Genomic DNA, 15,229 nt, shown 5'->3' on the forward strand with positions numbered 1-15,229 from the left:
TTGGGAAGTATGGGCATTTTAACAATATTGATTTTCCAGTTCATGAACATGGAATATCTTTCCTTTTCTGTGTGTTCTCTTCCGTTTCTTTCATTACTGTTTTATATTTCTCATTGTACATATCTTTCACTTCTTTGGTTAATTCCTAGTTATTTAATTTGTAGCTGTGGTAAATGAGATTACTTTCTTTTTTTTTATTTAATTTTTTAGTATTTATTGATCATTCTTGGGTGTTTCTCGGAGAGGGGGATTTGGCAGGATCATAGGACAATAGTGGAGGGAAGGTCAGCAGATAAACATGTGAACAAAGGTCTCTGGTTTTCCTAGGCAGAGGGCCCTGCTGCCTTCCCGCAGTGTTTGTGTCCCTGGGTACTTGAGATTAGGGAGTATGCTGCCTTCAAGCATCTGTTTAACAAAGCACATCTTGCGCCGCCCTTAATCCATTTAACCCTTACACATGTTTCAGAGAGCACGGGGTTGGGGGTAAGGTTATGGATTAACAGCATCCCAAGGCAGAAGAATTTTTCTTAGTACACAACAAAATGGAGTCTCCTATGTCTACTTCTTTCTACACAGACACAGTAACAATCTGATCTCTCTTTCTTTTCCCCACATTTCCCCCTTTTCTATTCGACAAAACCGCCATCGTCATCATGGCCCGTTCTCAATGAGCTGTTAGGTACACCTCCCAGACGGGGTGGCGGCCGGGCAGAGGGGCTCCTCACTTCCCAGACAGGGTGGCCGGGCAGGGGCGCCCCCCACCTCCCAGACAGGGCGGCGGCCGGGCGGGGGCTGCCCCCACCTCCCGGACGGGGCAGCTGGCCGGGCGGGGGCTGCCCCCCACCTCCCGGAGGGGGCGGCTGCCGGGCGGAGACGCTCCTCACTTCCCTGACGGGGTGGCTGCTGGGCGGAGGGGCTCCTCACTTCCCAGACGGGGAGGCTGCCGGGCGTAGGGGCTCCTCACTTCTCAGACGGGGCGGCCGGTCAGAGACGCTCCTCACCTCCCAGACGGGGTGGCGGCGGGGCAGAGACACTCCTCAGTTTCCAGATGGGGTCGCGGCCGGGCAGAGGCGCTCTTCACATCTCAGATGGGGCGGCGGGGCAGAGGCGCTCCCCACATCCCAGAGGATGGGCGGCCGGACAGAGACGCTCCTCACTTCCTAGACGGGATGACGGCCGGGAAGAGGCGCTCCTCACTTCCCAGACTGGGCGGCTGGGCAGAGGGGCTCCTCACATCCCAGACGATGGGCGGCCAGGCAGAGACGCTCCTCACTTCCTAGACGGGGTGGCGGCCGGGCAGAGGCTGTAATCTCGGCACTTTGGGAGGCCAAGGCAGGCGGCTGGGAGATGGAGGTTGTAGCGAGCAGAGATCACGCCACTGCACTCCAGCCTGGGCAACATTGAGCACTGAGTGAGCGAGACTCCGTCTGCAATCCCGGCACCTCGGGAGGCCAAGGCTGGCAGATCACTCGCGGTCAGGAGCTGGAGACCAGCCCAGCCAACACGGCGAAACCCCGTCTCCACCAAAAAATACAAAAACTGGTGAGGCGTGGTGGTGCGCGCCTGCAATCCCAGGCACTCGGCAGGCTGAGGCAGGAGAATCAGGCAGGGAGGTTGCAGTGAGCCGAGATGGCGGCAGTACAGTCCAGCCTGGGCTCGGCATCAGAGGGAGACCGCGCAGAGAGGGAGGGGGAGGGGGAGACTTCTTTCTTGATTTCATTTTCAGATTGTTCACTGTTGGCATACAGAGATGCTACTGATTTTTTTGTATGTTGATTTTGTATCCTGCAGTTTTACTGAATTTGTTTATCAACTCTTAATAGCTTTTTTGGTGGAGTCTTTAGGTTTTTCCAAATATAATATCATCTACAGGCTGGGTGTGGTGGCTCACGCCTGTAATCCCAGCACTTTGGGAGGCCAAGGCAGATGGATCACCTGAGGTCAGGAGTTCAAGACCAGCCTGGCCAACATGGCGAAACCCTTCTCTGCTAAAACTATAAAAATTAACCGAGCATGGTGGCATGTGCCTGTAATCCCAGCTACTCGTGTGGCAGAGGCAGGAGAATTGCTTGAACCTGGGAGGCGGAGGTTGCAATGAGCCGAGATTGTGTCACTGCACTCCAGCCTAGGCAACAGAGTGAGACTCTCTCTCAGAATAAATAAATAAATAAATAATGATAATATCATCTACAAACAAGGCTAATTTGACTTCTGCTGAATTTTATCAGATCCTTTTTCAGCATCAATTGAAATGATCATATGGTTTTTGTCCATCATTCTGTCGATATGAGGTATCACATTGATTTGCTCATGTTGAGCGATTCTTACATCCCTGGGATAAATCCCGCTTGGTCACGATGAATGATCTTTTTAAGGTGTTGTTGAATTCTTTTTGCTAGTGTTTTGTTATGGATTTTTGCATCAGTGTTCATCAGGGATATTGGCCTGTGGTTTTCTTTTTTTGATGTACCTTTGGTTTTGGTGTCTAGGTAATACTGGCCTCATAGAATGAGTTTGGAAGTATTATTTTCTCAATTTTTTGGAATAGTTTGAGTAGGGTTGGTATTAGTTCTTCTTCAAATGTTTGGTAAAATTCAACAGTGAAGCCATTGGGTCCTGGGCTTTTCTTTGCTGGGAGACTTTTTACTACAGCTTCAATCTTGTTGCTTGTTACTGGTCTGTTCAGGTTTTGGATTTCTTCATGATTCAATCTTGGTAGGTTGTATGTGTCTAGGAATTTATCCATTTCTTCTAGATTTTCTAATTTATTGGCATATAATTGCTCATAGTGGCCACTAATGATCCTTTGAATTTCTGCACTGTCAGTTTTAATGTCTCCTTTTTCATCCTTTGAGTTTTCTCTTTTTTCTTAATCTGGCTAAAAATTTGTCAGTTTTGTTTATCTTTTCAGAAAACCAACTTCTTGTTTCATTGAGCTTGTATTTTTTCTTCATTTCAATTTTATTTATTTTTACTCTGATCTTTTTTCCTCTACTAACTTTGGGTTTGGTTTGCTCTTGCTTTTCTCATTTTTTACAATACATCGTTAGATATTTTATTTGAAGTTTTTCCTCTATTTGGCTACAGACATTTAAAGCTACACATTTCCCTCTGAGTACTGCTTTTGCTGTGTTGTTTCCATTATCTGTTTCAATAAATTTTTCAGTTTCCATCTGTCCTTCCTTCCTTCCTTTCCTCCTTCCCTCCTTTCTTTCTTTCTAACTTTTTTGGAGCTGGGGATCTCGCTGTGTTTACCAGGCTGGTCTTGAACTCTTGTCCTCAAGCGATCCTCCCACCTCAGCCTCCCAAAGTGCTGGGATTATAGGTGTGAGCCTCTGCACCTGACCCAATTTTTCAATTCTTAATCTCTTCATTGACCCACTGGTCATTCAGAAGCATATTGTTTAAATTCCATGTGTTTGTATAGTTTCCAGAATTCCTCTTGTTATTGATTTCTAATTTTATTCCATTGTAGTCAGAGAAGATACTTCACATTACTTGCTTTTTTAAAAAAAAATGTTTTATGACTTGTTTTGTGGCCTAACATATGGTCTTTATCCTTGAGAATGATCCATGAGGTCAGGAGAAGAATGTGTATTCTGTAGCCATTTGATGAAATGTTCTGTAAATACCTATTAGGTCCATTTGGCCTATTTTGCAGATTAAGTCCAATGGTATTTTTTTGTTGATTTTCTGTCTGGATGATCTGTTCAGTGCTGAAAGTTGGATGTTGGCGATGCCAGGTATTGTTGTATTGGGGTCTATCTCTCTTAAACTCTAATAATATTTGCTTTATGTATCTGACTGCTCCACTGTTGGGTGCATATATGTTTACAATTGTTATATCCTCTTGCTGAATTGACTCCTTTATTATTATATAATGACCCTGTCTCTTTTTATAGTTTTTGTTGTGCAATCTGTTTGTCTGATGTCAGTATTGCTACTCCTGCTCTTTTTTGATTTTGCATGCAATATCTTTTTTTTTCATTTGCATGCAATATCTTTTTCCATCCCTTTATTTTCAGTCTACGTGTGTCTTTATAGGTGAAGTGTGTTTCCTGGAGGCAGTACATCACTGGGTCTTGTTTTTTCATCCATTCAGCCACTCTGTGTCTTTTGATTGGAGACTTTAGTCCATTTACATTCACTGATATTGATATTTACATTCATTAGTATTGATAAGTAAGGACTTCCACCATTTTATTTTTCTGATTGTTTGATGGTCTTCTCTTTCTTCTTTCCTTCCTTCCTGTTTTCCTTTTAGTGAAGGTGATTTTTTCTGGTGGTATATTTTAATTTCTTTTTATTTTTGTGTTTCTCTTTTATGTTTCTAGGTTTGAGCTTACCATGAAGCTTGCAAATAATATCCTATAACCCGTTGTTTTAAACTGATGACAGCTTAACACTGATTGCATAAACAAGCAAGCAAAAAGAAAGCAATAAACACTTTATATTTTAACTTCATCTCCCCACTTTTAACTTTTTGTTGTTTCTATTTATATCTTATTGCTATCTATGTCTTGAAAAATTGTAGTTATTATTTTTGATCGGTTCATCTTTTCATATTTCTACCTAAGACTTGTGTAGTTTACAAACTGCAATTACAATGTAATAATATTCTTTGTTTTTCTGTTTACTTGCCAGTGAGTTTTGTATCTTCAGATGATTTCACATTACTTATTAACATGCTTTTCTTTCAGATTGAAGAACTTCAGCATTTCTTGTAGGGCAGCTCTGGTGTTGATGAAATCTCTCAGCTTTTGTTTGGGAAAGCATTTCTCCATGTTCGAAGGCTATTTTCACCAGATGTACTATTCTAGGACAAAAGGCTTTTTTTCCTTCAGCACTTTAAATGTCATGCCACTTTCTACTGGCCTATAAAGTTTCCACTGAAAAGTCCACTACCAGATGTATTAGAGCTCCATTGTATGTTACTTGTTTTTGTGTTTATTTCCTCTTGTTGTTTTTAGGATCCTTTCTTTATCCTTGAGATTTATGAGTTTGATTATAAACTGCCTTGAGGTAGTCTTCTGTGTGTTAAATCTCCTTGGTGTTCTATAACCTTCTTGTACTTGAATATTGATATTTTTCCCTGAATTTGGGAAGTTCTCTATTATTATCCCTTTGAATAAACTTTCTACTCCTCTCTCTCTCTATCTCCTCTTTAATTAAGGTCAATAACTCTTAGATTCTACCCCTACCCTGCCTTTTTATTTTGAGACAGGTCCTGACTTTGTCACCCAGGCTGGAGTGCAGTGGCATGATCTTGGCTCACTGCAACCTCCACCTTCCGGGTTCAAGCAATCCTCTCACCTCAGCCTCCTGAGTAGCTGGGACCCACAGGCACATGCCACCACTATGCCCAGCTAATTTTTTTTTTTTTTTTTTTTTTTTTTTTTTTTTTTTTGGTGGAGATGGGGTTTTGCCATGTTGCCCAGGCTAGTCTCGAACTCCTGGGCTCAAGCAGTCCTCCCTCCTTGGCCTCCCAAAGTGCTGGGATCATAGGTGTGAGCTGCTGCACCTGGCCTGGATTTCCCCTTTTCTAGGTTATTTTCTAGAACTTGTAGATGTGCTTCATTTTCTCTTGTCTCCTCTCACTGTGAATTTGCAAATAGCCTCTCTTCAAGCCCACTAATTCTTTGTTCTGCTTGATCAGTTCTGCTATTAAGTGACTGATGCATTCTTCCATATGTCAGTGGTGTTTTCAACTCCAGCATTTCTGCTCGATTCTTTTAATTTCCATTTATTTATTAAATTTATGTGATAGGATTCTAAATTCTTTATCTGTGTTATCTTGAATTTCTTTTGAGTTTCCTCAAAACAGCTATTTTGAGTTATCTTTCTGAAAGGTCACATATCTCTGTTAGAGATTGGTCACTGATGCCTTATTTAGCTCGTTTGGTGAGGTCATGTTTTCCTGGATGGTCTTGATACTTGTTGATATTCATCAATGTCTGGGCATTGCAGAGTTAGGTTTTTATTGTAGTCTTTGTAATCTAGGTTTGTTGTACCTGTCCTTGGGCAGGCTTTCCAGGTATTTGAAGGAACTTAGGTGTTGTGATCTAAATTTTTGGTCACTGCAGCCATATCTGCATTAGGGGATACCCCAAGGCCCAGTAATGCTGTGGTTCTTGCAGATTTGTAGGGTACGACTTTGGTGGTCTTGGATAAGATCCAGAAGAATCCTCTGGATTAGCAGGCAGAGACTCTTGTTCTCGTCCCTTACTTTCTCCCAAACAAACGGAGTTTCTGTTTCTGTGCTGAACTGCCTAGACCTGAGGAGGGATGACACAAGCACCCCTTTAGCCACCACCACTGGGACTGCCTTAGGTCAGACTTGAAGCCAGCACATTACTGGGTCTTGCCCAAGGCCCACTGTAACCGCTGCCTGGCTGCCACCTATGTTTGTGTGAGGCCCTAAGGCTCTATAATCAGCAGGTGATGAAGTCAGCCAGTATCAGGGGAAATTCAGCCAGATATCGGGTGAAATTCACCCCCAATATTTCACGTAGGTTCTTTCCTATTTTCCCTAAGTGCCGGCCAGTCTGAGAAATAAAGGGACAGAGTACAAAAGAGAGAAATTTTAAAGCTGGGTGTCCAGGGGAGACATCACATGTCGGCAGGTTCCATGATGCCCCACAAGCCACAAAACCAGCAAGTTTTTATTAGTGATTTTCAAAAGGGGAGGGAGTGTATGAATAGGGTCTGGGTCACAGAGATCACATGCTTCACAAGGTAATAAGATATCACAAGGCAAATGGAGGCAGGGTGAGATCACAGGACCGGGGCAAAACTAAAATTGCTAATGAAGTTTTGGGCACATATTGTCATTGATAACATCTTATCAGGAGACAGGGTTTGAGAGCAGGCAACCGGTCTGACCGAAATTTATTAGGCAGGAATTTCCTAGTCCTAATAAGCCTGGGAGTGCTACGGGAGACTGGGGCTAATTTCATCCCTACAGCTGCGACCGTAAAAGACAGCCGCCCCTGAAGCAGCCATTTCAGAGGCTTACCCTCAGGGACACATTCTCTTTCTCAGGGATGTTCCTTGCTGAGAAAAAGAATTCAGCGATATTTCTGTCATTTGCTTTTGAAAGAAGAGAAATATGGCTCTGTTCTGCCTGGCTCACCGGCAGTCAGAGTTTAAGGTTATCTCTCTTGTTCCTTGAACCAATTGCTGTTATCCTGTTCTTTTTTCAAGGTGCCCAGATTTCATATTGTTCAAACACACATGCTCTACAAACAATTTGTGCAGTTAACGCAATCATCACAGGGTCCTGAGGTGACATACATCCTCCTCAGCTTACAAAGATGACGGGATTAAGAGATTAAAGTAAAGACAGGCATAGGAAATCACAAGGGTATTGATTGGGGAAGTGATAAGTGTCCATGAAATCTTCACAATTTATGTTCAGAGATTGTAGTAAAGACAGGCGTAAGAAATTATAAAAGTATTAATTTGGGGAACTAATAGATGTCCATGAAATCTTCACAATTTATGTTCTTCTGCCATGGCTTCAGCCGTTCCCTCCGTTCGGGGTTCCTGACTTCCCGCAACATCTCTCCCTTTCTTTTTATATAAATGTGCCATGGTGATGAAGGCTTGTTCATTCTCTTGATTTTTACCCAGGATTCTTTGACTGGTCCGGCACACTAAAAACAAGCTGATTAAACAGAGAAATGTAATTCCACAATTTACTACAGTGGAGCCCCCAATAGACTTAATCCAAGTCGTGGGGTTTAATCCATAAAGATTTTCTGCCACCTGATCTAACGCCTCAGCTCCAGGCACAATGGATAAGTGAGCTTGAGAGGCTTCAAAAATTTGTTTCTTTAATTTAGTTATGTCCAATGATAAATTATCTTCCCTACCCAGAAGGCGTCCTTTGACCATTTCCCATGAATAATCAGTCTCATTATAGGAATAGGGGATGATACAGAAATCCAAAGTATTCCAGTTGCACTGCATTTGCATGCGATGTTCGAGACTCACCACCCAATCTCCAAGCCAAATAACAGACTGTCTTAAATCATTAATTTGATTAGCTTGTGTCCATCCCTTAAGGGCACTGAGTTTCCCTGGGCTGCGGGTAGGTCCAGAGATTCTGTCCAGGAGCCAGGGCCTGGAGTTGGAAACCTTAGGAATAATCCTGGTGCTCTGTTTTACTGTGGCTGAGCTGGCACCCAAGCTACAAGACAGCATCCTTCCCATTCTTCCCTCCCCTTTTTCCAGGCAGATGATTCTTTCCCTGTGTCCACCACTACCACAGGCCCACAAGGAGTTCTGTCAGGGTACCACAAATATTTACTTAAGGCCCAAGGGCTCTTCAGTCAGCTTGTGTTGAATACTGCCAGGCCTGGGACTTTCCCTTCAGGGCAGTGGGCTCCTCTTGGCCTAGGTAGGTCCAGAGATGCCATCCAAGGGCCAAGGCGTGGAATTGGGGAGTTGGTACCAAAGCTTAAGACAAAGTCCCCTTTACTCTTTCCTGTGTGTGGAGGCTGTCCCAGTAATTCAGATTTGGTAGAATGGTGGCTTGGACCAGAGTGATAGCAATGGGAGAAGACATTAGATTTTGGACCTGATTTGAAAATAGGTACAGGAGGATTTGCTGATGTTTTGAATAATGAGGTATTGGAGAAAGAAAAGCAAAGGATGACTTACATGGTTTTGGGCCTGAGGAACTCCAAAAAAGTCATTGCTTTTTACACAGGTGGGAGGTCTTGGAGGAACAGGTTTTTGCAATTCAGAGTACAGCTTTGGCGGCCAGGTGTGATGGCTCATGCCTATAATCGCAGCACATTAGAGGGGCTAGCATGGGAGGATTGCCTGAGCCCAGGACTTCAAGACTAGCCTGAGCAATGTAGTGAGACCCCATCTCTACAAAAAAAATTTTTTTAATTTTCTGGGTGTGGTGGCACATTCCTGTAGTACCAGCTACTCAGGAGGCTGAGGTTGGGGGATTACTTGAGCCCAGGAGGGCAAGGCTTTAATGAGCTGTTGTCATGTGACTGCACGCCAGACTGAACAATACAACAAGATTCTGTCTCAAAAAAAAAAAGTGCAAGTTTGGACATGATGGGTGTGGGATGTCTGTAAGACATGTAAGTTGAGATGTTGAGAAGGATGTTGCACCATGGCATTCAAAGAGAGGAGAAGTGTAGGCTGGAGACATAAATTTGAAAGTTAATACAGTTATAAATTATGAGACCAAATGGTATCATCAAAGGAGTAAGTGAAGATAGAAAAGAGGTCCAAAGACTGAGAGACCTGGGCACTCCAAAATTTAAAGATTGAGGAGATAACCAGCAAAGGGAATGAAGAACAAACAGCAAATATGGAGGGAGAAAAACTAGGTGCATGTAATGTCCTCACAGGCAAGTGAAAAAAGTGTATCAGGAACTAGAGAGTGTCTCATACTGCTGATAGGTCAAGTAAGATGAGGGCCCAGTAATTGGATAGAGTAAGATGGAGCTCCTTGATGACTTTAACAGGAGCAGTGTAAGGAGAACAGTAAGGTCAGAAGATGACTTGAAGTGGATAAGAGAACATCAGATAAGATAAATTGGAGACAGACACTGTGGGCAACTCTGTCTTGAAGCCTGGCTGTAAAGAGGAGCAGTAGTCTTTGAAGCAGTAACAGAAGCAAGATACGGGGTCAAGAGGGTATTGTTTTCAGGGGGAAATAAACTAGTATATTTGTAGGCTGAAAGGGAGTGATGCAATAAAAGAAGAGGTAGAGGGATGGTAATGAAGTGGGGAGGGAATTGCTGTTTAACAATTAGTGGTTATAGAAGTGTTTTGTTTATATTTTCATAAAACACTTGATTAGGACTTAAAAGATCTGGGTACTAATTATAATTTTGTGACTTAGGTAGTCATTGAAAATTTGTATGCTTTAGTTTCTTTATCTGCAAAAATGTTATGAACATAAAACAGTTAAGTATATGATCACTTTGAAAAGGTGAAAAGCACTACTGTGCTTCATTATTGATCACTCTCTTCTTTCTCTCATACCATGAAATGTGCCCATTCATGGCAGAAAATTCTCTTTTAAAATTCAAGTGCTCACATTTTTCTGTTTTTGACAAAACTATCATTTATTTATGTATAACAAGTAGTTATAAATAATATGTTTTGTGAAAAGGCTATAAATCTGTTTCAATGTGTTAAATCTTACGTATGGAGCTGTATAACCTTGGGAAGTTTTTATCAATAAATTAAGTTTTCTGTGTGATCTTTAGTTCATTTTCTTAACAGTACCAAATCAATAAGGAAGAAAAGTCTAATTCCATAAATGGTGTTGGCATAATTGGTAAGCTTTTGGGAAGAAAACTTAATTTTGATCATCACTTCATAGTACTTACCAAAACAAATTCCAGTTTAGTTAAAGATATTTAAATGTTTTTTTGAAAATCAGCCAGCCTGTTTTTTGAAAAATTAGATTACTGGCTATCCTGGCTAGGAAGGACTTTCCAAATTTAAAGTGTTAGGAAAAATCACATTAAAATAAGGATAGACTTTATTAAGTATATTTAATTTCTGCATTTCCAAAAGGCAAAGAAGAAAAGTTTGCAGAAAATATGGCAAAGAATTAATGTTTTTTTAAATGCTAAAATTGATAAATAGAAAAACCTGTTAAACCTCAGTAGATAAATGGGCAGAAGGTATGGACAGACAGATAGAATAAGAGATCACCAGTAAATAAAATGATAAAATATCTGGCCCTGCTAATAATTTTAAAAATGCAAACCAAACAGTAGTGAATGACTATATTTGTCCTATTAAATTAGCAAAAGCATTTTTTTTTCCCCTAGAGACAGGTTCTCGCTCTGTCACTCAGGCTGGGTTGCAGTGTCATGATCGTAGCTCACTGTAGCCTCAAACTTGGGGGCTCACATGATCCTCCTGCCTTGGCCCCCTAACAGTAGCTAGGACTACAGGTATGTGCCACCATGTCTGGCTAATTTTTTTTTTTTTTGTAGGGGCAGGTTTCTCCACCTCAGACTCCTAAAGTACTGGTATTACAGGCATGAATCACCATGCCAGCCAGGAATTTTAAATAGTTGTACCGATTAAGAGTAAACTTTGCACTCTCATGAATTGTTTTGTGAGTATAAATTTAGCTCTTTAGGAAAGCTATCTGGGAATATTAATCAAAGGTCTAAAAAATATGTATAGTTTTAATAATCTGAGGGCATATGATAGTCAATATTTAGTAATAATAAAATGCCAGACTTATTCAGTGCTTACTATTTGTATTCTTCTGAGTCTGTACATGTATAAACTCACTTAATTCTATAACAGCTTTATTAGGTAATATTTAGAAAAGGAAACCGAGGTATAAGGAGGTTAAGAAACTTGCCCAGGGTCACACAGCTAGTTAGTAGTAGAATCAGAACTTGATCCCTGGCAGTCCTCAGAACTTAGGCTCCAAAAATTTAATAGTATTTTTATAGAGAGAATATTTATTATGGAGTATATTGGAAGTTTAAGCACTAATGATCTAGCTTTTTAGTTGCTTCTTCAAGAAATAGTAAAAATGATAGTGAACACTTAGTGAGAGCTTACTATGTACCTGACAAGCACTTTCCATTTCTTAACTTATTTAATACTCTAAAATAACCCTAGGAGGAAGATACTATGATTAGCACCATTTTGTAGGTAAAAGCTCTAGAAAGATTTGATAACTTGCCCAAAATTACCCAGTAGAGCCTGCATTTTAAACCCAAAATCTGTCCACTTAACTAATAAGTTGTAAAAAGCCTGATAGTCTGTCTCCTAACCAGTATGCTGAACTGACTTTATAAAAGTAGTAATTCTTTGGATTTGTTTTCTCGAAATTGAGCTTCATTGGGAAATTAAAAACAGAAACTTTTCTTTTTTTGTATAAGCATTTAACACATAGGAAGCAGAACACTGGAACAAGCTAAAAGAAGTTTTAAAATGTTTTCCCCCAGGATCTCATTGCTAATTAACTCATGTCTTCTTCCAAACATCTAGTGCCCTTCGCAGTCTTACAAGTTGTCAAAAATAAAAGTATCATGAATCAAACAACAAATCTATGTTATATCTACAGTGAATGCTGTCCTTCTGACAATTGAGTTAATCAGGTCTCCCTGGCTAGTTTTAAAACTACCGCTTACAGCTATACAGGACTCCTTGTCTTTATGCTGCTTCCTGGGCCTGTATGCCCACTTCATTTACCTAACTCCTTTCTCATTGTTTAAAATTCAGTTTAGATGTTACTACTACCAAGAAGCCCTCCTTCATAAAACTCACCCTTTCTACTTGATTTGAATCCAGTCTACTCTTGTCGTTCCCTATGATTACCTCATAACATTAGTGCATTTTTTTCTTACCTGTTTCCTGCCTCTGTACCCCAGCATCTAACAAAGCGCATATCATTCAGTGTGTTTTTTAAATTGATGTGGGGAGAGAGGGTATAGGGGAATACAAATTTCTGCATAGTAAAAAGCACTGGGAACAAAGTCTAAAGACTGACAGGCCATAGAAAAATGTACTCATGTCACAAATGACTAGTTTCTTAACATACAGTAGTCCCCCTTTATCTGGAGAGGACACATTCCAAGAACCCCAGTGGATGCCTAAAACTACAGATAGTACCAAGCCCTATATACTGTTTTTTCCTATACATATATACCTATGATAAAGTTTAATTTATAAATTAGGCACAATAAAAGATTAACAACACTAATTAATAAAATAGAACATTATAACAATGAACTCTAATAAAAGTTATGTAAATGTGTGCTCTTTCCCCACCCCACCCCCCAAAAAAATCTTATTCTACTTTTTACTCACCTATTTTCAGACCGCTATTGACAGTGGCTAACTGTAAGCATGGAAAATGAAACCATGGATGAGGGGGGACTACTGTATAAAGCTGTATATAGCTCTTACAAATCAATAAGAAAGGCCAATAACCCAATAGGAAAATGAGCAAAAGGAAAACAGATCATTTGTAGAAAGGGAGAAATGTCTCAAACATTATAAAAAAGATGAGTCAGCCCCAATAGTAATAAGATGAATGCGAATTACAGAAATACTGTTTTTAACCTTTCAGGTTAGGTAAGACCAAAAAGTTGATGCAGTAGGGAAACAGACACAATGCTAATGGGATTATAAATTGGTAGATCCTTTTGAGTTGCTTGATGTTCTTCCAGAATTACAAGTACATATATATTCTATAACAGTTCCATTTCCAGGAATTTATCCTACAAATATACTAAAATGATTATTTACAGCATACACATTATTGCATTGTTTGTAAAAGAAAAAAATGGAGATACTCTGAGTGTACATCAATAGGGGGCAGACTAAATGAATTTTATTTATCCATTCAATTAGGTCCTCTGTAGTCATTAAAAAGAATGAGACAGCTCTGTGTTATAGGGTGAGCTTCCAGATATAATGTTAAGTGAAACAGCAAGGTGCAAAACAATGTGTATAGAATGATACCACTTGTGTTGGGAAGAAGAAGAAACTGCACTTGGGTATATGCTTTGTATATCAGCAGACTATTTCTGGGAAGATATCAGAGAACACAACAGTGATTATCTCTGGGAAGAAGCACTGATTGGTCATGGCAGGCTGGGGAACAAGTGTAGTAGAAGGGCATATTTTTTCACTGTCTACTCTTTAATCTTTTAATTTGTAATCTTGTGTGTACTACCTATGTATAAAAATAATTTGTAAAAGAATGAAAAGAATTACAAAGTAAAATATGAATTGTTTTGACAATCACAAAAAGCAAGTCACCAGCAATGAGCAAAATAAGGAAAGAACTCATTAATATTCATTGAATTTTTTTATTTTTTTTATTTTTATTTTTTTTTTTTGAGGCAGAGTCTCGCGCTGTCGCCCAGGCTGGATGGAGTGCAGGGCGCGATCTCGGCTCACTGCAAGCTCCGCCTCCTGCGTTCACGCCATTCTCCCGCCTCAGCCTCACGCGTAGCTGGGACTACAAGTGCTCGCCACCATGCCCAGCTAATTTTTTGTATTTTTAGTAGAGACAGGGTTTTACCGTGTATTGCATGTTTTTTATGTGCTAGATGCTTTACATATAATTACTTCATGTAATCTTCGTAAATCCTCTGAGAAATACCTAGTTTTAGCTGTATCGTACAAAGAGATTGATGGAGCCTTAGAAATGTTAGCATTCGGCTAATAAGGAAGCAAGGGTTTATTTGAAATCAGATCTTTTCTGTTTCCATAGTTGGGTTTTTTTCCCACCAAACCATCTGGCTTCCAATTAGTGACCATCTTTTATTAGTGAAAGTAAGTATAAGTGTACTTTAATAGTGAGCAGCAGTTACCAAAAATGTCCACAAGATGGAAATGTTAGACACAAGCAGATATTTTTCTTTGTAAAACATCATGCTACATATCCAAGTGGCATATTTAAATAGATGTGTCCTGTTTTGCAGTAACATTTCTTTAGTACTTTGTTATAGATAGATAGTTTCAGATATCACTTAATGTTTCTCTTTTCTCATAACAATAGTTGATAGGGCTTTTTCTGTACCAGGCAGTATTCTGGGTACTTTACATAAATTAATTCATTAAGTCTTCTCAACAGGCTGGGTGTGGTGGCTCACACCTGTAATCCCAGCTGCTTGGGAAGCTGAGGTGGGATAATCACTTGAACCCGGGAGTGAGAGTTTGCAGTGAGCCAAGATCACACCACTGCACTCCAGCCTGGGTGACAGAGTAAGATCCTGTCTCAAAAGTTTTCTCAACAAATAATATTATGAAGTATTTGCCATTATCATTTCTGTTTCATAAGTGAGGAACATAGGTGAAATAGCTTACAGTGTCACAGCTAGTAAGTGGCAGAGCTGGGATTCAAATTTTAGCAGTTATTGCCACCTATTTGAAAAAAAGATATTGGCTTGTATTGATAGTGTGATTTTGTTTATAAGTTTCACCTGGGCCGGGCCTGGTGGCTTATGCCTGTAATCCCCGCACTTTGGGAGGCTAAGGAGGGCGGATTGCCTGAGCTCAGGAGTTCGCAGTCAGCCTGGGCAACACGGTGAAACCCCGTCTCTACTAAAATACAAAAAATTAGCCGGGCATGGCAGCATGCACCTGTAGTCCCAACTACTCAGGAGGTTGAGGCAGGAGAATTGCTTGAACCTGGGAGGCATAGGTTGCAGTGAGCTGAGATCATGCCACTGCTCTCCAGCCTGGGCGACAAGAGCGAGAC

At 40.6% G+C, this 15,229-nt stretch overlaps 1 protein-coding gene across 8 annotated transcripts in view; it reads left to right on the forward strand.

Moving 5' to 3' along the window:
- The window catches only part of YEATS4 (YEATS domain containing 4), a 67,330-nt gene that overhangs the window by 14,471 nt on the left and 37,630 nt on the right, over nt 1-15,229 (forward strand). The gene's annotated exons all lie outside the window — the stretch shown is intronic.

Source organism: Homo sapiens, chromosome 12 (assembly GCF_000001405.40).
Source record: "Homo sapiens chromosome 12, GRCh38.p14 Primary Assembly".
In the NCBI taxonomy this organism is placed as follows: domain Eukaryota; kingdom Metazoa; phylum Chordata; class Mammalia; order Primates; family Hominidae; genus Homo; species Homo sapiens.